At 37.9% G+C, this 26,021-nt stretch overlaps 1 annotated feature.

The window, feature by feature from the left end:
* Window positions 3,778–3,983: a silencer, noted in NCBI's record as "fragment chr9:96562895-96563100 (GRCh37/hg19 assembly coordinates)". NCBI's record gives its function as "represses an EF-1alpha promoter that drives an FKBP-Casp9 reporter gene in an ReSE screen in K562 erythroleukemia cells {active_cell/tissue: K562}" and the evidence as "EXISTENCE:reporter gene assay evidence [ECO:0000049][PMID:32094911]".

The raw sequence follows: 26,021 nt of genomic DNA, 5'->3' as shown, positions 1-26,021 counted from the left end.
TATGTTTGCATGTGTCTTTATAGTAGAAGGATTTATAATCCTTTGGGTACATACAGAGTAATGGGATTGCTGGGTCAAATGATATTTCTGGTTCTAGATCCTTGAGGAATCACCACACTGTCTTCCACTATGGTTGAACTAATTTACACTCACACCAACAGTGTAAAAGCATTCCTATTTCTCCACAGCCTTTCCAGCATCTGTCGTTTTCTGACTTTTTAATGATCGCCATTCTAACTGGTGTGAGATGGTATCTCATTGTGGTTTTGATTTGCATTTCTCTAATGACCAGTGATGATGATCTTTTTTTCATATGTTTGTTGGCTATCTAAATGTCTTCTTCTGAGAAGTGTCTGTTCATATCCTTTCCCTACTTTTTGATGGGGCTGTTTGTTTCTTTCTTGTAAATCTGTTTAAGTTCTTTGTAGATTCTGGATATTAGCCCTTTGTCAGATGGATAGATTGCAAAAATTTTCTCCCATTCTGTAGGTTGCCTGTTCACTCTGATGATAGTTTCTTTTGCTGTGCAGAGTCTCTTTAGTTTAATTAGATCCCACTTGTCAATTTTGGCTTTTGTTGCTATTGCTTTTGGTGTTTTAGTCATGAAGTCTTTGCCCATGCCTATGTCCTGAGTGATATTGCCCAGGTTTTCTTCTAGGGTTTTTATTGTTTTAGGTCTTGCATTTAAGTCTTCAATCCATCTTGAGTTAATTTTTGTATAAGGTGTAAGGAAGGGGTCCAGTTTCAGTTTTCTGCAAATGGCTAGCCAGTTTTTGCAGCACCATTTATTAAATAGGGAATCCTTTCCCCATTGCTTGTTTTTGTCAGGTTTGTCAAAGATCAGATGATTGTAGGTGTGTGGTGTTATTTCTGAGGCCTCTGTTCTGTTCCATTGGTCTATATATCTGTTTTGGTGCAGTACTATGCTGTTTTGGTTACTGTAACCTTGTAGTATGGTTTGAAGTCAGGTAGCGTCATGCCTCCAGCTTTGTTGTTTTTGCTTAGGATTATCTTGGCTATATGGGGTCTTCTTTGATTCCATATGAAATTTAAAATAGTTCTTTCTAATTCTGTAAATAATGTCAATGGTAGTTTGATGGGCAGTATGGCCATTTTCATGATATTGATTGTTCCTATCCATGAGGATGGAATGTTTTTCCATTTATTTGTGTCCTCTCTTATTTCCTTGAGCAGTGGTTTGTAGTTCTTCTTGAAGAAGTCCTTCACATCCCTTGTTAGCTGTATTCCTAGGTATTTTATTCTCTTTGTAGTTATTGTGAATGGGAGTTCATTCATGATTTGGCTCTCTGCTTGCCTATTGTTGGTATAAAGGAATGCTTGTGATTTTTGCACATTGATTTTGTATCCTGAGACTTTGGCAAGTTCTTTTCAACGTCATCACAGGCATACAGGTGGGACCTGAAGGCTCAGGGATGGTGGTGCTTCCCAGCATCACATGGGGCAGGGCATGATGGGCAGAGGCTGCTGGCCCTCCCAGCCCCAGGCATGGCAAGGGGTGAAACAGTGGCTTGGTGAGGGGTTCAGAGGAGATGAGGAGCTGAATGGTATTGACAGGTCAGGGAGGGGCCGAGGGTGGGGACAGTCAAATTGCAGGCCAAGGAAGGGCCAGGTGAGCAGGTGGAGGGTGAGGCCTGCCTGGATTGCATTAGGGGCATCCCAGGGACCCAGGACTCTAGGAGGGTGGGACCAAGGCGACCTTCAGTTCCTGGAAGTCACCAATCATGGATGGTGCAGTCATCCCAGACTTTTCCAGGAAGCAGGGTCACACCATGAACCCAGAGCTGGCCCCATCACAGGGAGATAGTGCAGGACCTCTTCCCTAGAGGATGTGTGAGCTCCAAGAGAGGCTAGAGAGAAACCTAAGAGGCTCCAGGACAGCGGCTGGGCCACCACCCAGCAGGTGTGAGCAGGGCTGTCCCTGTGACAATGACTGCTGCTGCTGTGGGGCTGATTACATGACACCCACAGCAGCCTGGGCAGCCTGGACACAGGGACCACTCTTCCTGGAGTCCACAGAATGAATGGGCTTTAGGCTCCGATCTTGGCCCATCCTCTTCTGTCTGCTGTCTGCCTGGGGAGAGGTCATTCAGCCTTTTCAAGCCTTGCTTTCTTTGTCTGAATCTTCAAGCCCATTCCTGAGTTGACTAGGTGGTGGAGACCAGCACACCTCCCAGGCTTAAAGGTGGCAGCTGTGGGACCCCAGGGAAGGACTTCATCTTCCTGAGCTCTTCTGAAAATGCAAAAAATTTTAGGCTTGTGCTTCATGGGATTTTGTGTTGATTCAATAATATACTGAAGGGTTTCAAAGCAGGGCTGGGGACTTAGCATTTACTGTGTGAGGCTGGTGGACCATCACTACCACTATGATTACCATGTGCAGAATGGAGGCAAAGTGGAGGTCCCTGAGCTTCCAGGCCTGCCCCGTCCCACCACACAGCAAACCCCCATGTGAGGACTATGAGGCTGGCACATGTGCAGCTGAGGGCCTCGAGGCTCGGGCTGATCACAGCCAAGGTGGCAGAGCCAACGTTAGAGCTGAGACTGTCCCCCTCCACACACCCCTGGGCAGGTGCCATTGTCTCAGGGAGTCCCCTGGAGCCTGACACCTGGACTTCCAGTAGCCAGAGAGAGAAGAGCTGTCTTCATCCTGCCCTGGAACTGGTGTCACTCCTTGTACTTTCCCCCAGTAAGTCGCCCTTATGCCATCCAGACTGGGGATGAAGCTGGGCCACCCAGCCCTGCCACAGTGTTAAAGTGTCTGACAAAGTGCAGGCCTCAGGACACTTGTTCTGAGCATGTAAACACTTGCTGCTTTGAGAGCCTGCAAGGCACAGCTTTGGAAGCGGAGCCCACATAGCCCTGCCATTTATCAGCTCCTCATTAACTATGAGTCTGGAGGGCAGGCCTGGGGCCATTGCCCCTGCACCCTCCAAGGGCCAACAGGAGAGGCCAGGCACCTCTCTGCCTGGGAGGGGGATGATGACAACTGCGATGATGGCTGATGGTGATTAAACCCTTCCTGTGCACTGAACACTTCCACTGCATGCTCTCGTGTCATTATGACCCCATTCTGCGGGTGGGGAGACTAAGGTCAGAGTGGGGGTGTCACATGATCAGGAGAGGGCAGATCAGGGTTTGGCTGGTGCATCTCCCTGACTCAGAAGAGATGTCAGCTGGAAGAGGCAGCTGCTGATTGCTGGCTGTCCAGCCCCTGAGCAGCCTCCATCGTGGCTTGGCTGGCCTGGTTCCACGGGAGGCAGGATAGCTTCCAGCCATCTCAGCCTCTTGCATCATGGGAGAAAGAGCCCCCCACCGCCCCCAGCCCCTGGCTGAGGCATGGCTTTCATGGAGCTCCCAGCCTTGTCCAGAGGAGAGTTAGACCTGCAAACAGACAGACCCAAACACTGGGGTGTGCAAAAGACTTTCAGGATCAGAGAAGACAGTCAGTAAAGGCTTCCTCAGGAGGTGACCTCAAAGCCAGAGACAGAGGGTCCTCAGATGTGCCCACCCAGAACAAAATGACATTTGTCCCCTGGAATGCCTGCGCAAGTGGGAAGAAGATTGGGGCTCATATAAGTGGATTACATGCCCAAGTGTACACAGTAGGACTCCTACTCCACCACCTCAGACCAGTGCCTTCAAGCACTGAAAACCCATAGTCCCAATTTTTCTACACATCCCTGCTGAACCACCCTTCCCTTATAGTATATAAGCCCTGGGTCAAGGGAGTAATGGTGTGGGATCCACCATCTTGTCTCCCTGCTGCCAAAGACTCAGACATGGTTTCTGTTAGTAAGACCTTATTAAACATTTCTTTCCAAGAAACTGGGTTTCCAAGAAACTGGCCTCTTTCTTTGGCCTATCAGCTTCCTCTGACTTTGGGGAAGGTGTGCATAGGCCTTCCCACTGTGAAACACACCCCAAAGCACAGACGATAAGCCAAGTTATATCATCATCCTTAAGCACAGATGTGGTATCCAGTGATACTATTGCCAAATATACAGATGAGGAAATGAATGATCCTGCTACTACCTCATTGTACAGATGCTGATCCCAGTGATATCACTTAACCTGATTTATGCCACTCAACCCAAAGTACAGATGAGAAACTAGTGGTTCTACTACAGGCTGAGCATCCCAAATCTGAAAATCTAAACTCCAAAATGATCCAAAACTTTTTGAGCACCAGCATGATACTCAAAAGAAATGCTCATTGGAGCATTTCAGATTTGGGATTTTTCTATTTGAGTTGCTCAACTAGTAAGTATACAATGCAAATATTCCCAAATCTGATGTACAGATGAGACATAGAGTGATCCTATTACCATGCCAAGGTATAGATGAGAAATCAAGTAATCTTACTATTATCCCAAGGCATAGATTACCAATCAAATGTTGTCCCATCAACCCAATGTACAGATGAGGAACACAGTGATATTATAATCACTCCAAAGAACTAATGAATTTAATGACTCTACTATTACCCCAAGGAGCAGATGATGAATTGACGAATACTGTGATCACATCAACGTACAGATGAAGATGTGACTGATGCTGTTGTTAACCTAGTATATGAATAAAATCCTGAGTGATACTGCATTCACCTCAATGTACAGAGAATGAATGAAGTGGTACTATTGTCAACTCAACATAGAGAAAAGAAAGCAAATCATGCTACCACCCCAATGCAACATGAGGAACTGAGGGATACAATGATCACCCCTACACACAGATGAGGAACTGAACTTTCATCCAGAGAACTCTTGGGAAACTTATTAATACTATCATCACTTCTGTGGACAGGCAGCTAACCTCAAAAATAGAATAGCCAAATTAACTTGTTAACTGTACTTAATGGATAAGTAGGGATGACAGAAGGATGAATCAGAGAACTTGAAGACAACAGTAGTATTTACACAATCTGAATAATAAAGAGATACTAGACTGAACAAAATAAATAAAGCTTCCAGTATTTGTGAAAGAATAATACAAGTTTCAACATTCATCATTGATGTCCCAAACGGGGAGAAGAAAGAGTGTGTGACACCAAATATATTTAAAGAAATAATGGGCCAGTCATGGTGGCTCACACCTGTAATCCCAGCACTTTGAGAGGCTGAGGCAAGCAGATCACTTGAGATCAGGAGTTCAAGACTCACCTGGCCAACATGGTGAAATCCAGTCTCTACTAAAAATACAAAAAATTTAGCCAGGCATGGTGGCATACACCTGTAATACCAGCTACTTGGGAGGCTGAGGCAGGAGAATCACTTGAACATAGGAGGCAGAGGTTGCAGCCTGGGTAACAGAGCGAGACTCTGTCTAAAAAAAAAAAAAAAAAAAAAAGAAAGAATGGCTGAAACTTCTCAAATTTGGTTAAACACCTAACCCTACAGATTTAAAAAGCCGAGCGAATCACAAATAAAATAAGCCCAAAGAAACCTCCACTTAGTGTATTAGTCAGCTCCAGCTCCAGTAACAAAATATCACATACTGGGTGGCTTAAACAATGGATGTATATTTATCATCCTTATGGAAGCTGGGAAGTACAAGATCAAGGTGCCTGCAGATTTTATTTCCAGTGAGGGCCCTCTTCCTGGCTTGTAGGCACTGCCTTCTCTCTGTGTCCTCACATGAAGAAAGAGAAAGAGGAAAGGAAGGAGAAAGAGAAAGAGGGAGGGAGGGAGGGAGACAGGGAGAGAAAGAGAGAGAGAGAGAGAGTGCGTGTGCGTGTTGTCTGGTCTCTTTCTCTTCTCATAAGGACACTAATCTTATCATGGGGGCCCCACCCTCATGACCTTATTTAAGCCTAATTACCTCCCAAAGTCCCTACCTCCAAATATTATCACATTGGTGGTTAGGGCTTCAATATATTAATTTGGGGGAGGGACGAAAACATTCCATCTATAATACTAAGACTCATCATAATTAAAATTCTGAAAACTAAAGATAGAGGGAAAAAGATCTTTAAAAGCACCAGAGAGAAGTTATGTATTACCTATAAAGAAAAATCAACTCAAATGAAACGACAGCAGATTTTTCATCTGAAACCTTGAAGGCCAGACGAAGTGGCACAACATTGATCAAATGCTGGAAGAAAAGACCTGGAAACCCCAAATCCTATATCCAGTGAAGCTATCTTCAAGACTGAAGGGGAAATACACACATTTTTTTAAAATGAAAAAACAGTAAGAGGATCTGTTCCTAGAAGACCCACCTATCCTGAAAGAATAGGTAAAGGAACATATCTGTAACAGAAAAATAATATTAACAAAAGGCTGGGTACCTTCAGAAAGGAAATAACAACAGGGTAATGGGCAAAAGTAGAAGTAAACATAACAGACAATCCCTCACTTCTTGAGTATCTTAATCATACTTTATTGGTATATTTGTTTGTTTGTTGTTTTCTTGAGATGAGATCTTGCTATGTTGCCCAGGCTGGACTCACACTCCTGGGCTTAAGCAATCCTCCTGCTTCAGTGTCCTGAGTAGCTGAGACTACAGGCATTCACCACCATTCCTATCTATTGTACTTTATTGTTGAAGCAAAAGTTGTAACACCATCTGATCTAGTACTGAATTTATGTAGAGGACATACTTAAAACCATCATATTTAAAAAGTGGAGAGTGTAAAGGAAGCTAAGTGGAAATAAAAATAGAAGAAGAGGGCTGACTTCCCAATTCATTATATAAGCCCAGTATTACCTTGATGCCAAATCGGCAAAAAAAACAAAAAAACAAAAGAAAAATACACCAATATCTCTGATTAACTTAGACCTAGAAAATCTTCAAGAAAATATTAGCAAATTGAATTCACTAAGGTATAAAAAGACTAATATGCTATGACCATGGGGGATTTATTGTAGGGACATCAGCCTGATTCAATATTAGAAAAATCATTCGGTGTAATCCAACATAGCAACACGTTAAAGAAGAAAAATCATTTTACACCAATTGATGCAGAAAAAGTATTGGACAAAATTCATTGCCAATTAATGATAAAATTCTCAGTACAGTGGGGATAGAATGGAACTTTTTCAACCCCATACAAAGCATTTATTTAAAAAAACCTACAGCTAGGTGTGATGTCAAGAACGATGGCCGAGTAGGAAGGTTGGGAATCTGTCTCTCCACCTACACAACAAATATACAGGCAGAAACTATCTGGAGTAACTATTTTGGAACTTGGGAGTCCATTTGAACACTTACAGCTTCCAGGAAAATGCTTGGCTAGTTAATTTCAGTCAATTTTAGCCCTTAACGTGGTAGCAGCCATTCATCCCCCACCAACCAGGCACATGCCCTAGTTCCTGGTTGCAGCTTGCTAGAGCTAGGGTACAAAACAAGAATCTCATCCTTCAAATATTGGGATTTTGTGTTCTGATTGCTGATTGGTGCTTTTAGTCACTGGGATGGATGCACAGAGGCTGGCTGCCATTGTTTCAACTCCACCGGTTGAAGTACCATCCAAGAGGTTTAAAGATGCAGTATCTGAGGGTTTTTTTTTTTCCTTTTTACTCTTTTAAGACTTACACATTTAAGGAATAGGACATTCAAAAGCAATTGCATATATGGGGAACTACAGAAAGCCAACATACATGCCTAGGTAAAGATGCAGGCTTTGCTAGGCACAGTGGCCCATGCCTGTATCGCAGCACTTTGGGAGGCTGAGGTGGGCAGATCACTTGAGGCCAGAAGTTCGAGACCAGCCTGGCCAACATGGTGAAACCATATTTTAGTACGGACTATGTTTAGTCTCTACTAAAAATACAAAAATTAGCCAGGTATGCTAGCACACACCTGTAATCCCAGCTACTCAGGTGGCTGAGGCACAAGACTTGCTTGAACCCAGGAGGCAGAGGTTGCAGTGAGCTGAGATTATGCCACTGCACTCCAGCCTGGGCAACACAGTCAAAAAAAAAAAAAAAAAAAAAAAAAGATGCAGGCTTACAAAAGACCTAAGAAAACCTTAAGCTTTCACTTCAGGATGATCCCTGGTACAGAGGCACTGTACAAAAATAAAACAAAACAGGAAATCCTGAGGAAGGGAGAGAATATAATTTTCAGAGTTGCCACATTATAAGATTTAGTTGTCCAGTTTTCAACAAAAATATCACAAAGGAAACATAAAAATAAGAATGTATGGCCCATTCAAAGAAACAAAATAAATTGACAGACACTATTGCTGAGGAAGCTCAGATGGTGGACTTACTACAAAAAGACTTTAAAACAACTGTTTTAAAGGTTCTCAAGGAACTAAAGAAAGACATGAAAAAAACAGGAAAACAAATACATAAACAAATGAAAATATCAGTAAAGAGATAGAAAATATACAAATAAACCAAAATGAAATTCTGGAGTTGAAATAAAAATTTACTTGAGGTTTTCAAAAACAGATTTGAGAAGGCAAAAGAAAGAATCAGTGAACTTGAAGATAGGACGATGATTGGAATTATTGATAATGAAGAGGAAGAACAGCAGAAAGACTGAAGAAAAGAAAACAGAGCTTAGGGGACCCATTGAGACACCATCGAGCTAGTCCAGAAGGATAAGAGAGAAAAGGGGACAAGCAAAAATATTGAAGAAAGAATACCTGACAACTTCCCAAATTTGATGAATGACATTAATCTACAAATCCAAGATCAACAAACTTTAAGGAGGATAAACTCAAAGAGACCCACATTGTAATCAAACTGAGACAGATTGTAGTTAAACTGTAAAAAGACAAAGACTCTAGAAAGCAGCAAGAAACAAGAAATTCATCACATAAAAGGGGTTCTTCAATAAGATTATGAGCTAGTTTCTCATCAGAAATCTTAGAAACCAGAGGCAGTGGGTTGATAGTCAATCAATTGATAGAGAAAATTTTTCAACTGAGATTCCATATCTGGCAAACTGTTGTTCCATAATGAAGGAGTAATTAAGGCATTCTCAGATAAATAAAAGCCAAAAGAGTTTGTTACCATTATATCTGCACTTCAAAAAATGCTAAAAGAAGTCCTGCAAGGTAAAATAAAAGGAAACTTGACAGTAACTCAAAGCTGTATGAAGAAAGAAAGAGTTTTGGTAAAGGCAAATACATGGGTGATTATAAAAGTTACGATTATTTTTACTTTGTAAATCCATTTGTTGTGTATCCGGATCATAATCCTGAAAGACACAATCCCAAATGCCATAATTCCAAATTTTTAAAAATCCCAAAAGATAAAAATCTCTGAAGTCTAAATGCTTAAAATCTAAAGTTTCTAATGTCTAAAATTCTGAAAATTACAATCTCAAAAGATTAAAATCCCAAATGTTGAAATCCAAAAAGCTGAGTTAGGGGATGGTATTAGTGCATTTGGAGTTGTACACAGGAGGCCGAGGCAACCCCATGTTGCATCATGTTAATTGCATTTGTATGTTAGGTAGAACTATTACATTGTTATTGTCTTTATTTAAAAATTAAATATAGTCTAAGGAAACATGTATGGGTGTCAAGTTGACAAGGGATGGACTTTTGGACTTAATTTTCAATATCAACTTGACTGAATTAAGAAATACCTATGAACCTGTTGAAGTATTCTATTGGGTGTATCTGTGAGGATGTCACCATAGGAGATTAAAGTGTGAGTCTGAGCAGACTGGGTGGGAAAGATCTATACTTAATTTTGGCAGACACCATCCCATCCGTCAGGTATCTGATGACAACAAATACAAAAGGCAAGTTGGTCCGTCTCTGAGAGCTGGGCAGCTTTTTCTTCTGCGGCTTGAACATCAGAAATTTGACTCCACAAAAGTGCATTGTCACAATGTTGACTGTGTGTAAGCATTATGCATGCACATAAAAACATTGAACCTTCCTCAATAAATGAAGAGATGTCCTTTTGTACATCTGCATGTGTGAAAGATAAAATTCTCCGAGATCTCAGCTCTTTGAGTGGCAGCATATGTTGTGGCAAACCATAATGATTTTTTACTGATCTCCTCAAAAGATTTAGGTTGTTCATCACAGCATTTCAGATGACCACAGTTGTAAAGCTGAGTGCACACAATTACCAATCATAGTTATATGCGCTTATATCTTATATATTTCCCTTTCTGATCTATTTCTTTATGCATATAATTTATCTGCTCATAAATGATTTACCTATGTGGCTGTTATTAGTATACCTGAGTGTTTATGCTTGCAAAAATGTGTATGTTAATATTGCCTATTTTATTGTGTAAAATGGCCTATAAATTGTTCTGTCATGTTTTCCTATGTTTCCAAAATAAATTCCCTTTTGTACAACTTGAGGCTCAAAAAGTAAACAAATACCTTTTAATAAATTTTTAAATTATTTTTTTCCAGAATTATATTTTTAAGATTTTGATCTTTTGGGGTTGGGATTTTGGGGATTTTAGACTTGAGGGATTTTGATCTTTCAAGATTTCAACATTTGGGTTTATGGTGTTTGGGATTGTCTTTCAGGATTATGATCAGTTCCCTTTTTTTCCTAAAAATTTAAAAGACAAATGTTTTTAAAAAATGATTACTAATCTATATATTGGGCACACAATGTATAAAGATGTAATTTGTGACATCATCCTAGAAAGGGAGAGACAGAAGTAGTGTGTAGGAGGAGATTGTTTGCATGCTATCAAAATTGGTAGTATTAATTGAAATTAGATTGTTGTAACTTTAGGAAGTTAAGTGCAATTAAGTTTCTTTGATAACAACAAAGAAAATGTCTAAGGAATAGATACAAAAGGAAATGAAAAAGGACTCATTACAAAAACATCAAATAAGCATAAAGGAAGTCAGTAATGCCGGAAGTGAGGAAGAAAAAAGTCATAAGGTGCTTAGAAAACAAATAGCAAAATGGCAAAATTAAGTCCCACTTTATAGATAATCACTTTAAATCTAATAGATTAAACTATACAACCAAAAGAAAGAGATTGGCAGAACACATAAAAAAAGATCCAACTATATACTGTCACAAGATATTTACTTTAGATCCAAAGACAAAAACAGTTTGAAAGTAAAACAACTTTTAAATCCCAAAAGTTTACAGGAGACAAAGAAGCAGATTTTATATCAATAAAATGTTCAATAAAGCAAGATGATGTTATAATTATAAATATTTACACAGCTAATAACAAATCCTTAAAATTTATGAAGCAAAAATGAACAGAATCAAAGGGAGAAATAGATATTTCTACAATAATAGTTGGAGACTTCAATAATTCACTTTTAATAATAGGTAGAACAACTACATAGAAGACAAGTAAAGAAAAATAGAACTTAAAGAACACAGTAAACCAACTAGACCTAATAGACATATACAGAATAATCCACCCAACAACAGCAGAATATATATTTTTCTCAAGTACACAAGAAACATTCTCCAGGATAGACTGCAGAATAAGTCTCAAGATTTGGAAAGATAGATATCATACAAGGCATATTCTCTGACTACATGGTGATGAAGTTAGAAATCAATAACAGAAGAAAAACTGGAAAATTCACAACTATGTGAAAATTAAACAACACACTCTGAAACAATGAATGGGTCAAAGAAGATATCACAAGGAAAATTTAGAACATGCTTATAGACTACTAAAAATGAAAATGTCATATGCCAAATCTTATGGGAAAGAATGAAAGCATTACTCAAAGGGAAATTTGTAGCTATAATGCCTACATAAGAGAAAAATCTCAATCAATAACCTAACATTACATCTTGAGGAAATAAAATAAAATAGGAACAAACTAAATCCAAGGTTACCAGAAGGAAGAAAATAATACTAATTACAGTGAAGATAAAATAGAGAATAGAACAGAAAAACAATATTTAAAATCAATAAAACTGGCCAGGAGCATTGACTCATATCTGTAATCCCAGCACTTTGAGAGGTCAAGGTAGGAGGATCACTTGAACTCAGGAGTTTTGAGACTAGCCTGGGCAACATAGGAAGACCCTGTCTCTAAAAAATATTCAAAATATTTAAAACAAAAAAAAATCAATGAAACCAAAGTTGGTTTTTTGAAAAGATCAGCAAAATTGACAAACCTTAAGCTAGACTGACAAAAAAAGAGCGAAGATGGAAATAACTGAAATCAATATTACTACTGACCTTGCAGAGACAAAAGAATTATAAAAGAATACCACAAACACTTGTGTGCCAACAAATCAGATAACCTGGAAGAAATGCCAAATTATTAGGCAGACTCAAGAAGAAATAGAAAATCTCAACAGACCTATTACAAGTAAATAGATTTAATCAGCAATCAAAAATCTCCCAACAATGAAAAGTTCTGGGCCAAGTGGATTTACCAGTGAATTCTACCAAACATTTAAAGAAAAATTAATACAAGCCTTCTCAAAGTCTTCCAAAGGGCAGTAGAAGAGGGAACACCAAATCATTCTATGAGGCCAGCATTACTCTGATACCAAAGCCACATAAAGATTTCAACAGAAATTACAGACAAAAATCTTTATGAATATAGATGCTAAAATCCTTAACCAAATATTAGCATGTATCTAAGAGCATATTGGAAGAATTAGTTACCATGGCTGTCTTAGTCTGTTTTATGCTGCCGTAAGAGAGTACCACAGATTGGGTAATTTATTTTAAAAAACATACATTTATTTTCTCAGAGTTCTGGGTGCCACTATCTGGAGTCTTCTTGTTGTGTCATAACATGATGGAAACAACACATGGCAGAAGGCCAAAGAGTCGGCAACAAAGAAAAGGGGGGTGGAACACTTTCTTTTAATAAGGGAACCCCGTCTCTCAATAACAAACCCATTCTTATGATAATGGTGTTAATCCATCCATGAGGGCAGAGCCCTCATTGTCTAATTACCTCTTAAAGGTCCCATCTCCTAGTGTTGTTACAATAGCAATTAAATTTTAATATGAGTTTGAGAGGAGAAAAACATTCAAATTATAGCAATGACCAAAAGAGATTTATCTCAGAAATACAAGGGTGGTTCAGTATAAGAAAATCAACCAGTGTGATACATCACAGTAATAGAATGAAGAAACAAAACCACATGATAATCTCAATTGATGTAGTAAAGACATTTGACAAAATTCAATAGACTTTCATGATTAAAAAAAAAATCTTAGAAGACTAGGAATAGAGAGAAAATTGTTCAACATGATAAGGAGTATTAAGGAATAACCCACAGCTAACATCATACTCAATGGTGAAAGATTGAAAGCTTTTCCCCTAAGATCAAGAACAAGACAAGGATGCCTGTTTTTACTGCTACTATCTAACATTGTGGTAAAAGTCCTAGCCAGAGCTATTAGATAAGAAAAAGAACTAAAAGATTTCAAAATTGGAAAAAAAAAAAAAAGAAATAAAGCTACCTGTATTCACAAGTGGCATCATTCTATATGTAGAAAATCCCAAAGAATTAAGAAGAAAGCTACTAGAGCTAATAAATTAAGAAAAGTTGCAGGGTACAAGATCAAAACACAAACATCAGCAGTGAATAATTCAAAATAGAAATTAAGAAAGTAATTTTATTTATAATAGTATCTGATATGGTTTGGCTCTGTTTCCCCAACCAAATCTCATGTTGCATTGTAATTCCCAGTGTTGGAAGTGGGGCCTAGTGGGAGGTGATTGGGTCACGGGGATGGTTTCTAATGGTTTAGCACCAACTCCCTAGCACTGTCTCGTGATATAGTTTTCACAAGATCTGGTTGTTAAAAAGTGTGTAGCACCTCCCCTCTTCACTTTTTCCTGCTCCACCATGGGAAAACGTGCCTACTTCTTTGCTTTCTGTCATGACTGAAAGTTTCCCAACCATGCTTCCTGTACAACCTGTGGAACTGTGAGTCAATTAAACCTCTTATTTTATAAATTACCCAGTCTCAGGTAGTTCTTTATAGCAATGTGAGAATGGACTAATACAATATGTAAAAGAATTAAATGATTAGGAGTAAATCTAAGCAAGGAAGTGAGAGACTTGCACATAAACATTACAAAACATTGCTAAAAGAGATTCAATTATATCTAAACAAATGAAAATATATTTCATGTTCATAGATACAAAGGCTCAATTATGGTAAGATGTCAATACCACCCAGAGATCTCTAGAATCAACACAATCTTATCAAAATTCCAACAGCCTTTTTTGCATAAATGTAAAAGCTTATCCTCAAATTCATATGAAATTGGAAAGAGTTCTAAATAGCCAAAGTAATCTTGAAAAAGAACAATAAAGTTGGAGGATTCAAACTTCTAAACATTAAAACATACTAATTAAAACAAAATGGTACAGCCATAAAGACAGATACACAGCCCAGTGGAATAGGATAGAGAACCTAGAAATAAACTCTCATAAGTGTGGTCATTTGATTTTTGGCAAGGGTGCCAATACCATGCAATGGGGAAATGACGCTTGTCTTTGGGGAAAAGACATTTGTCTCTTCAACAAGTGATGTGGAAAACTAGATATCCACAAGCCAAAGAATGAAGTTGGATTCTTACCTTATATTATCTACAAAAACTAATCCAAAATGTATCAAAGACCTAAGCTTAAGAGCTAAAACTATAAAACTCTTAAAAGACAACATTAGGGAAAAATCTTCCCAACATTGGCTTTGGCAATGATTCTTAGATGACATAAAAAGTTCAGGCAACAAAATCAAAAAATAGATAAATTGGATTTCATCAAAATCAAGTATGTTTGGGAGAGGGTGGAGCAAGATGGTTGAATAGAAGCCTTCACCAATTGTCTCTCCTGCAGGAAGACCAAAGTTAACAACTATATACACAGAAGAAACACCTTCTTAAGAATCAAAAATCAGGCAAATAATTCAGCATCTGGTTTTGACTTCATATTGCTAAAAGAGACAATGAAGAAGCTTGGAAAGACAATCTTGAATCACCAACGCCACACCTCTCCCATCCCGACAGTGGTCATGTGGCATGGAGAATCTGTGCACTTAGGGGAGAGAGAGTTCAGTGATTATGGGACCCTGCACTGAACTCAGTGTTTCTCTGTCACAGCAGAAAGCAAAACGGGGCTAAACTCAGACAACACTTGCTCACAGAGGGGGAGTTTGGACCAGCCCTAGCTGGAGGGGAATTGCCCATCCCAGTGGTCAGAACCTGAATTTTGGCAAGTCTAACCACTGCGGGATAAAGGGCTCTGGGATCCTAAATACACTTGAAAGGCAGTCTAGGCTGCAAGGACTACAATTCATAGGCAAGTCCTAGTGCTGTGGTAGGCTCAGAGCCAGTGGACATTTTGGGGCATATGACCTAGAGAGACACCAGCTAGAGTGGCTAAGGGAGTGATTGCACCAGCCTAAACCTCCTTCCCCAGGGAGCACAGCTCACAGCAACAAAAGTGGCTCCTTTCCCCTAGAGAAGAGGAGAGGAGGGAGTAAAGAAGACTTTGTCTTGCACCTTAGAGACCAGCTCAACCACTATAGGATAGGGTACCAGGCAGAATCATGGGACACCCATTCCAGGCCCTAGCTCCCAAATGACATTTCTAGGCACACCCTGTGCCAGGGGAACCTGCTTCTTGGAAGGCAAGGACTCAGTCCTGGCAGGATTCAACATATGCTGACTAAAGAGCCCTTGGGCCCTGAAGAACCAGCAGCAATACCCAGGTAATATGCCATGGGCCTTGGGTGAGACTCTGAGACATGCTGCCTTCCAGTGAGATGCAGCACATTTCCAGCTGTGGTAGCTGCAGTAAAAGATTCTTTCTGCTTGAGAAAAGAAAAGGGAAAAGTAAAGGAGATTTAGTCTCGCATTTTAGGTACCAGCTTGGCCACAGCTGGCCTGGTAGAGCACCAGGTGGGCTCTTATAATCCTCGATTCCAGCCCTTGGTTCCTGGATGGCATTTCTGGACTTGCCCTGGGCCAGAGGGGAGCTCATTGACCTGAAGGGTAAGTTTCAGGCCCGGCAGCATTCACCACAAGCTGACTGAAGAGCCCATGAGTCTTAAGTGAACATCAGTGGGAGCCTGGCAGTACCCCCCATGTGTTGGTGGTCATGACGACCATAAGTAGAGGTTCCTCTGCCTGTGGAAAGGGGAGGAAGAGCAGGAAGGACTTAGTCTTGTGGTATAAGTACCAGCTTAGCCACATTAGAATAGAGTAGCAGGTAGATTTCTAAGGTTTTTAACTCCAGTCCCTGGCTCCCAGATGGCATCTCTGGACCTGCCCAAGGCCTTGGGTAACTCGCTATTGTAAAGGGAAGGACACAAGCCTGGTTGGCTTTACTACCTGCTGATTGTAAAACCCTAAGGCCATGAGAGAACATAGGCAGTAGCTAAGTAGTAGTTACAGCAGGCCTTGGGTGAGACCCAGTGCTGTGCTGGATTGAGGTCTGACCCAGAGCAGTTCCATCAGTGGTGGCCAGAGTGGTACTTTTGTCACCCCACTCCTAGTTCCAGGTGGCTCAGCAGAGAGAGAGATAATTCATTTGTTTGGGAGAAAGTAAGGGAACAGAACAAGAGTCTCTTCTAGATGTTATTCAAGACCACCAAGGCAGTAGCTCTATGAGTCTGCAAGAGCCACAGAATTACTGGGTTTGGGGTACTCCCTAATGCAGATATGGCTTAGACCACAACACTCAAGTCCCTTCGATTATCTGGAAAGCCTTCCTAAGAAGGACAGGTACAAACAAGCTTAGACTGTGAAGACTACAATAAATACCTAACTCTTCAATGCCCAGAAACTGATGAACATCCACGGGCATCAAGACCATCCAGGAAAACATGACCTCCCCAAACAACTAAAGAAGGCACCAGGGACCAACCCCAGAGAAACAGAGATATGTGACCTTTCAGACAGAGAATTCAAAATAGCTGTTTTGAGAAAACTCAAAGAAATTCAAGATAACACAGAGAAGGAATTTAGAAGTCCAACAGATAAATTTAACAAAAGATTGAAATAATTTAAAAGAAGCAAAAATTCTTGAGTTGAAAAATGCAATTAACATACTGAAGAATGCATCAGAGTTTCTTAATAGCAGAATTAAGCAAAAGAAAGAATTAGTGAATTTGAAGACAGGCTATTTGAAAATACACAATCAGAGGAGACAAAAGAAAAAAAAGAATACAAAAGAATGAAGCATGCCTACAAGATCTAGAAGATAGCCTCAAACGGGTAAATCTGAGAGTTATTGGCCTTAAGGAGGAGGTTGAGAAAGAGATAGTGTAGAGAAGTTTGTTCAGAGATAATAACCAAGAACTTTCCAAAACTGGAGAAAGATATCAACATTCATGTACAAGAAGGTTGCAAAGCACCAAGCAGTTTTAACTCAAAGAAGACTAACTCAAGACATTTAATAATCAGATTCCCAAAGGTCAAGGATAAAGAAAGAATCCTAAAAGCAGCAAGAGAAAAGAAACAAATGACATGTAACAGAGCTCCAATATGTCTGGCAACAGACTTTTCAGTGGAAACCTTACAGGCCAGGAAAGAACAGCATAGCATATTTAAAGTGCTGAAGGAAGAAAACTTTTACCCTAGAATAGTATATCTGGTGAAAATATCCTTCAAATGTAAAGGAGAAATAAAGACTTTCCCAGACAAACAAAAGTCAAGGGATTTCAACAGCAGGCCTGTCCTACAAGAAATGCTAAAGGGAGTTCTTCAATCAGAAGGAAAAGGATGTTATTGAGCAATAAGGGATCATCTGAAGGTACAAAACTCACTGGTAATAGTAAGTAAACAGAAAAACACAGAATATTATAACACTGTAATTGTGGTGTGTAAACTACTCTTATCTTAAGTTGAAAGACTAAAAGATGAACTAATCAAAATAAGAGCTATAACAACTTTGCAAGACATAGACATACGATAAGATATAAATAGAACAACAAAAAGTTTAAAAGTGGAGGGACAAAATTAAAGTGCAGAGTTTTTATTCATTTTCCTTTTGCTTGTTTGCTTGTTTTTTATGCAATCAGTGTTAAGTTGTCATCAGTTTAAAATAATGGGTTATAAGACAATGTTTGCAAGCCTCAAGGTAACCCCAAATCAAAAAACATACAACAGATACATAAAAAATAAAAAGCAAGATATTAAATCATATCACCCGAGAAAATCACCTTCACTAAAAGGAAGACAGGTAACAAAGAAGAAGAAGAACATAAAACAACCAGAAAATAAGTAACAAAATGGCAGGAGTAAATCCTTGTCTATCGATCATAACATTAAATGTAAATGGACTAACTCCTCAATCAGGGGACATAGACTGGCTGAATGGATGAAAAAACAAGACCTAATGATCCATTGCCTACAAGAAACACACTTTACCTATAAAGACACAGATAGACTGAAAATAAAGAAATGGAAAAAGATATTCTATGACAATGGAAACTGAAAAAGAGGAGTAGTAGCTATACTTATATCAGACAAAATAGATTTCAAGATAAAAACTATAAAAAGAGACAAAGAATTTCATTATATAATGATTAAGGGGTCAATTCAGCAAGAAGATATAACAATTGTAAATATAAATGCACCCAATTTGGAGCACCCAGATATATAAAGCAAATATTATTAGAGTTAAAGAGAGAAATAGACTCCAATACAATAAAAGCTGGGGATTTCAACACCCCACTCTCAGCATTGCCAGACAGAAAATCAACAAAGAAACATTGGACTTAATCTCCACTATAGACCAAATGTACCTAATAGTTGTTTACAGAACATTTCATCCAATAGCTGCAGAATACACATTCTTCTCCTCAGCATATCATTCTCAAGGATAGACCATATGTTAGGTCACAAAACAATTATTAAAACATTCAAAGAATTGAAATAATATCTACCATCTTCTCTGACCACAATGGAATAAAACTAGAAATCAATAACAAGAGGAATTTTTGAAACTATACAAATACATGGATCAATGGATAACAACTGGGTCAGTAAAGAAATTAAGAAGAAAATTGAAAAATTTATTGAAACAAATGACAGTGGAAACACAACATACCAAAACCTATGTGATAAAGTGGAAGTAGTATTAAGAGGGAAGTTTATAGCTATAAGTGCCTATGTAGAAAAAGAAAAGAAAAAACTTCAAATCAATGACATAACAAAGCATCTTAAAGAACTAGAAAAGCAAGAGAAACTAAACTCAAGATTAGCAGAAGAAATAATAAAGATAAGAGCAGAAATAAATGCAACTGAAGTGAAGAAAATAATAAGATCAACAAAACAAAAAGTTGGATTTTTGAAAAGATAAATAAAATTGACAAGCCTTTAGCCAGACTAAGAAAAACGAGAGAAGACCCAAATAAACAAAATCAAAGACAGAAAAGGAGACATTAAAACCAATACACCAGAAATCCAAAGGATCATTAGTGGCTACTAGGAGCAACTATATGCTAATAAATTGGAAAATCTAGAAGAAATGATAAATTCCTAGACATATACACCCTACCAAGATTGAACCATGAAGAAATCCAAAACCTGAAGAGACCAGTAACAAGTAATGAGATAGAAACCATAATAAAATTTCTCCCGGTAAAGAAAACCCAGGGACCTGAGTCTCCATTGCTGAATTCTACAAAGCACTTAAAGAAGAATTAATACCAATCCTACTCAAACTACTTAAAATATAGAGGAGGAGGGAATACTTCCAAACTCATTCTATGAGGTCAGTATTGCCCTCATACCAAAACCAAAGACACACTAAAAAACAAACAAACAAACTACAGATCAATATCCCTTTGAATATTGATGCAAAAATTATCAACTAAATTCTACAATACATTAAAAATATCATTCATAATGACCAAGTGGGATTCCCAGAGATGCAAAGATGGTTCAATATATGCAAATCAATCAATGTGATACATTATATCAACAGAATAAAGGATTAAGAACACTATGATCATTTCAATTGATGCTGAAAAAAATTGACAAAGTTCAACATCCCTTCATGATAAAAACCCTTTAAAAACTAGATATAGAATGAACACACCCAACAAAATAAAAGCCATATATGAGAGACCCACAACTAGTATCACACTGAACAAGGAAAAACTAAAAGCCTTTCCTCTAAGATCTGGAAAAAGACAAGGATGCCCACTTTCACCTCTGTTATTCCACATAATACTGGAAGTCCTAGCTAGAGAAATCAGACAAGAGAAAGAAATAAAGGGCATCCAAACTGGAAAGAAAGAAGTCAAACTATCCTTATTTGCAGGCGATATGATCTCACATTTGGAAAAACCTAATGACTCCACCAAAAAACTGTTAGAACTGATAAATTCAGTACAGCTGCAAGATACAAAATCAACATCCAAAAATCAGTAGCATTTCTTTATACCAATGGCAAAGAATCAGAAAAAGAAATAAAGAAAGTAATCGCATTTACAATAGCCACAAATGAAATAAGGTATCTAAGAATTAACCACAGACGTGAAAGATTTCTATGATAAAAACTATAAAACATTCATGGAAGAAATTGAAAAGGACACCAAGAAATGGGAAGAATATTTCATTTTTGGAATGGAAGAGTCAATATTTTTGATGGATTGGAAGAATCAATATTGTTAAAATGTCTATACTACCCAAAGAAATCTACATATTCAGTGCAATCCATATCAAAATACCAATAATACTCCTCACAGAAATAGAAAAAAAAATCCTAAAATTTATATGGAACCACAAAAGACCCAGAATAGCCAAAGTTATCCTAAGCAAAAAGAACAAAACTGGAGGAATCACATTATCTGACTTCAAATTATACTACAAAACTATAGCAACCAAAACAGCATGGTACTGACATAAAAACAGACACATAGACTAATGGCACAGAACAGACAACCCAGAAACAAATTCACACACCTACAATGAACTCCTTTTCAACAAAGGTCAAGAACATGCGTTTGGGAGAAGAAAGTCTCTTCAATAAATGGTGCTGGGAAAACTGGATATCAATATGCAGAAGAATGAAACTAGACCGCTATCTCTCATCATACACAAAAATCAAATCAAAATGAATTAAATGCTTATATCTAAGACCTCAAACTACAAAACCACTAAAAGAAAGAATTGAGGAAACTCTCTAGGACATTGAACTGGACAAAGATTTCCTGAGTAATGCCCCAAAAGCACAGGCAACCAAAGCAAAAATGGACATATGGGATCACATTAACTTAAAAAACTTCTGCACAGCAAAGGAAACAATTGACAAAGTGAAGAGACAACCCACAGATTGGGAGAAAATATTTGCAAACTACCCATCTTACAAGGAATTAATAACCAGAATATAAAAGCTCAAACAGTTCTATAGGAAAAAAATCTAATAATCTGATTTTAAAATGGGCAAAAGATCTCAATAGACATTTCTCAAAAGAAGACATGCAAATGTAAAACAGGTAAATGAAAAGGTGCTCAACATCGTTGATCATCAGATAAATGTAAATCAAAACTACAAGCAGATATCATCTCACCCCAGTCAAAATAGCTTTTATTCAAAAGGCAATGACAAATGCTGGTGAGGATGTGGAGAAAAGGGAACCCTTGTACACTGTTGGGAATGTAAAGTAGTACAACCACTATCGAGAAGAGTTTGGAGGTTCCTCAAGAAACTAAAAACAGAGCTACTATATGATCCAGCAATCCCACTGCTAGGTATAGACCCAAAAGAAGGAAAATCAGTGTATTGAAGAGATTTCTGTACTCCCACATTTATTGCAGCACTATTCTCACAGTACTATCCTCAATAGCCAAGATTTGGAAGCAACCTAAGTGTCCATCAACAGATGAATGGATAAAGAAAATGTGGTACATATACACAATGGAGTATTCTTCAGCCATAAAAAAGAACAAGATCCTGTGATTTGCAACAACATGTATGGAACTAGAGATCATTATGTTAAGTGAAATAAGCCAGGCACCAAAAAACAAACGTTACATGTTCTTACTTATTTGTGGGATCTAAAAATCAAAACAATTGAAGTCATGGAGATATAGAGCAGAAGCAAGGTTACCAGAGACTGGGAAGATAGTAGGGAGGTTGGAGGTGGGGCGGAGGAATGGGGGAGGAAGTGGGGATAGTTAACGGGCACAAAAATAGTTTAAAAGACTTAATAAGACCTAGTATTTGATAGCACAACAGGGTGACTATAGTCAATGACAATTTAATTGTATATTTTAAAATAACTCAAAGAGTATAATCGGATTGTTTCTAACACAAAGGATAAATGCTTGAGGTGATGGATACTTTATTTATCCTAATGTGATTATTACACCTTGCATGCCTGTATCAAAGTATCTCACATACCCCATCAATATACATAGCTGCTATGCACCCACAAAAATTAAAAATTAAAAAAAAAATAAGCACTTTTGTGTAGCAGACACTATCAGAAAGTGAAAAGACAACCTATTAAATAAAAGAAAATTTTCAAATTATATATTTAATGAGATGAATATTCACAATATATAAAGAACTCCTACAACTCAACAACCCGCAAACCAAACAATCTAATTTTTAAAATGGGCAATAATCTTGAATAGACATTTCTCCAAAGAAGATATACAAATGGCCAATAAATACACGAAAAGATGCTCAATGTATTAGTCATTAGGGAAATGCCAATCTAAACTACAAGAAGATATCACATCACACTCATTAGAATGGCTATAATAATAATAATAATTTTTAAAAGAAAAATAAGTGTTGGCTAAGTTGTGAAGTAATTAGAACCCTCATATGTTGCTACTGATAATGTAAAATGGTGCAGACTCTATGGAAAACAGTTTGGCAATTCTTCTAAAAATTAAGCATGTGACTTTGCAATTCCACTCCTAGATACACATCCAAATATCCAATATATCCAAAACAACTGAAAACAGGGGCTTGAGCAGATATTTGTACATTGATGTTCATAGCAGCATTACTCACAATAGTCAAAAGGTGGAAACACCCAAGTTTCTATCAACAGATAAATGAATGAATATACAACAAAACGTAGTACATGCATACAATGGAATATTATTTAGCCATAAAAAGGTCTGAATTGCAATATATGCTAAAGATGGATGGACTTTAAAAACATTATGTAAAATGGAATAAGCCAGGCATAAAGCACAAATATTGTATGATTCCCCTTATATGAGGTACCCAGAACTGGCAAATTCAAAGCCAGAAAGTAGAATAGAGGTTATCAAGGATTTGTTGAAAGGGAGCATGAGAAGACATTGCTTAATGCATACAGTGTTTATTTTGGGGATAAGGAAAATATTTTGCATATTGATAGTAGTGTTGGTTACACAACATTGTCAATGTATTTAATGCAAGCAAATTGTATGGTTACAAATGGCTAGAATGATAAGTACTACGTTATGTGTATTTTAACATAAAAATATCTGGTAAGAGGTGCAGAAGGCTGCACACTTAGAAATGGCATCTGAGTGTTGAGCCCTAAATGATCCTGAATCTGAGAAATGGTGAGAAGGCTGACCTGTTTCCTTGATGCTAATCGTAAGATACCCATCTCTGGTGTCGTGTCACATCTACCTTTAGTGCACCTTCGATGCAAGACGGTGGCTTCAGAACCTAAAATGACGGAGAACTGAGGCTTCATTTGCCTACAGGATAGATTGTATGAGTTGTTTTGTCCATATTTGCTAATAAATACTGGTTTACTTTCAAAAAAATCCCTACAGCTAACATCATCCTTAATGGTGAAAGGCTTAATTCTTTTCCTCTAAAATTGGGAACAAAAAAAGGATGGTGGCTCTCATCACTTTTATTCCACATATTACTGGATGTTCCAGCCACTCCAGTAAGGCAAGAAAAATAAATAAAAGGCACACAGATTGGAAAAGAATAAATAAAATTATCTCTATTTGTAGATGGCATAATGTCTTTGTAGAAGAATTCAAGGAATCTTTTTTAAAAACCTTCTAGAAATAATATATGAATTCATTAATGTCATTGGATACAAGATCAACATGCAAAAATCAATTACGTGCTGATAATAGAAATCAAAACCAAAAATGCAATAGCATTTAAAACCACTACAGAGATAATACAATTATTAAGTATAAAACTAACAAAACATGTACAGAATCTGTGTGATAGAAATGACAAATTGTTGATGAAATAAATGAAAGAAAACCTAAATTAATGGAGATACATATGGTGTTCATTGACTGAAAGACTCAGTATAGTAAACATGTCATTTCTCCACAAAGGTATAGGCTTAACACAATTACTCTCAGAATCTCAGGGCTTTTTTTTTTCAGACTTAAACAAATTTAGTCCAAAATTTATATGGAAACACAGTTCCTAGAGTAGACGATTTTGAACCAAAACTAATTAAATAAGAAGAATCACTCCTCCCAATGTCAAGGCATACTGTGGCTACAAGAATCATGGTACTGGCTGAGGGGTAGACACATAAATCAATGGAACAGAATAAAGACTCCACAAATAAACCCTTAAAAACATGCTCAATTGGCCAGGCGGGGTAGCTTAGGCCTGTAATCCCAGTACTTCGGGAGGTTGAGGCAGGTGGATCACTTGAAGTCAGGAGTTTGAGACCAGCATGGCCAAACTGACCACAGTGAAACCCCATTTCTACTAAAAATACAAAAATTAGCCAGGCTTGGTGGCACACGCCTGTAGTCCCAGCTACTAGGGAGGCTGAGGCACAAGATTTGCTTGAACTGGGGAGGCAGAAGTTGAAGTGAGCCAAGATCTCACCACTGCACTCCAGCCTGGGCGACAGAGCAAGCCTCTGTCTCAAAAAAAAAAAAAAAATTATATACATATATATATATACACACACACACACACACACATATACACACACACATATATATAACCACATTTAGTATGTTTAAAAATGTGTAATTATATATAATTACATATATTTTATATGTATTTTTATGTATGCTCAATTAATTTTTAAGTTAACCTTTAATTTTAGACCAGAGTTACGGTGATGATAACGCAGAGTGTTCTCATATATCTCACACTCAGTTTTTCCTATGACAAACATCTTACATTAGTATGCTGTATTTGTCATAATTAGTGTATCAAAATTCTTATTGATAATAACATATTAAAATACGAGAGCCTGTATTTAATACAGATTCCTCATTTTGCTCTTAATGCTCTTTTCCATTTCCTTTAGTCTTACAGTTTCTATTCATTTCCAAAGTTATTTACTTATGCCACTCTTTCAGTGAGGTTGCTTTATATATTTTTAATATGTTGAGCTTCTTTTGTCACATTCTGCACTCATCCAGGGATTACCCAAACTATTACATTATTTTTCTTAATTTACATGCATTGAGGCTTTGTGGTGTTAAAGTTCTATGGGTTTGGACAAAGCTTAATATCTTATATTCACCAGTATAGTATCCCATACGTAAGTTTTACTCCCCTAAAATATCTCCTGTGCTTCACCCAATAATCCCCACATCTCTCAACCTCCTGGAAACCCACTGATCTGTTTCTAAGGTTTGCATTTTCCGAAATTTCTTTCTTTTTTTTGCACAAAATGTGCTAATTTTACTAAGTACTTTGTCATACACTGGCAACCTTTTTAACATCTAGAGACTAGATGTTGCAAAATTACGACTCATTTGTCCATTATATACATATACACACAGCAAAACAAAACACACAAAACATACACAATGGTGTCTAAAAATGTCCAAATATGAACACACTGACATATTACCTTTTGCAATTTCCTCCCTCCCACTTCTGCTAAGCCGTTGAACAAGCATAAGCAGTATTATACTGCTCACAGACGCGGTTTAAAAATTCCATTTCCGGCCGGGCACAGTGGCTCACACCTGTAATCCCAGCACTTTGGGAAGCCTAGGTGGGTGGATCACAGAGTCAGGAGTTCAAGACCAGCCTGACCAACATGTTGAAACCCCATCTCTACTAAAAATACAAAAATTAGCTGGGCGTGGTGGCGGGCACCTGTAATCCCAGCTACTCGGAAGGTTGAGGCAAGAGAATCGCTTGAACTCGGGAGGCAGACGTTGCAGTGAGCCGAGACCA

The sequence above is a fragment of the Homo sapiens genome, chromosome 9 (assembly GCF_000001405.40).
Source record: "Homo sapiens chromosome 9, GRCh38.p14 Primary Assembly".
Lineage (NCBI taxonomy): Eukaryota > Metazoa > Chordata > Mammalia > Primates > Hominidae > Homo > Homo sapiens.
The sequence above is the reverse complement of the archived record's forward strand: the minus strand, read 5'-3'. Positions and strand labels throughout refer to the sequence as shown.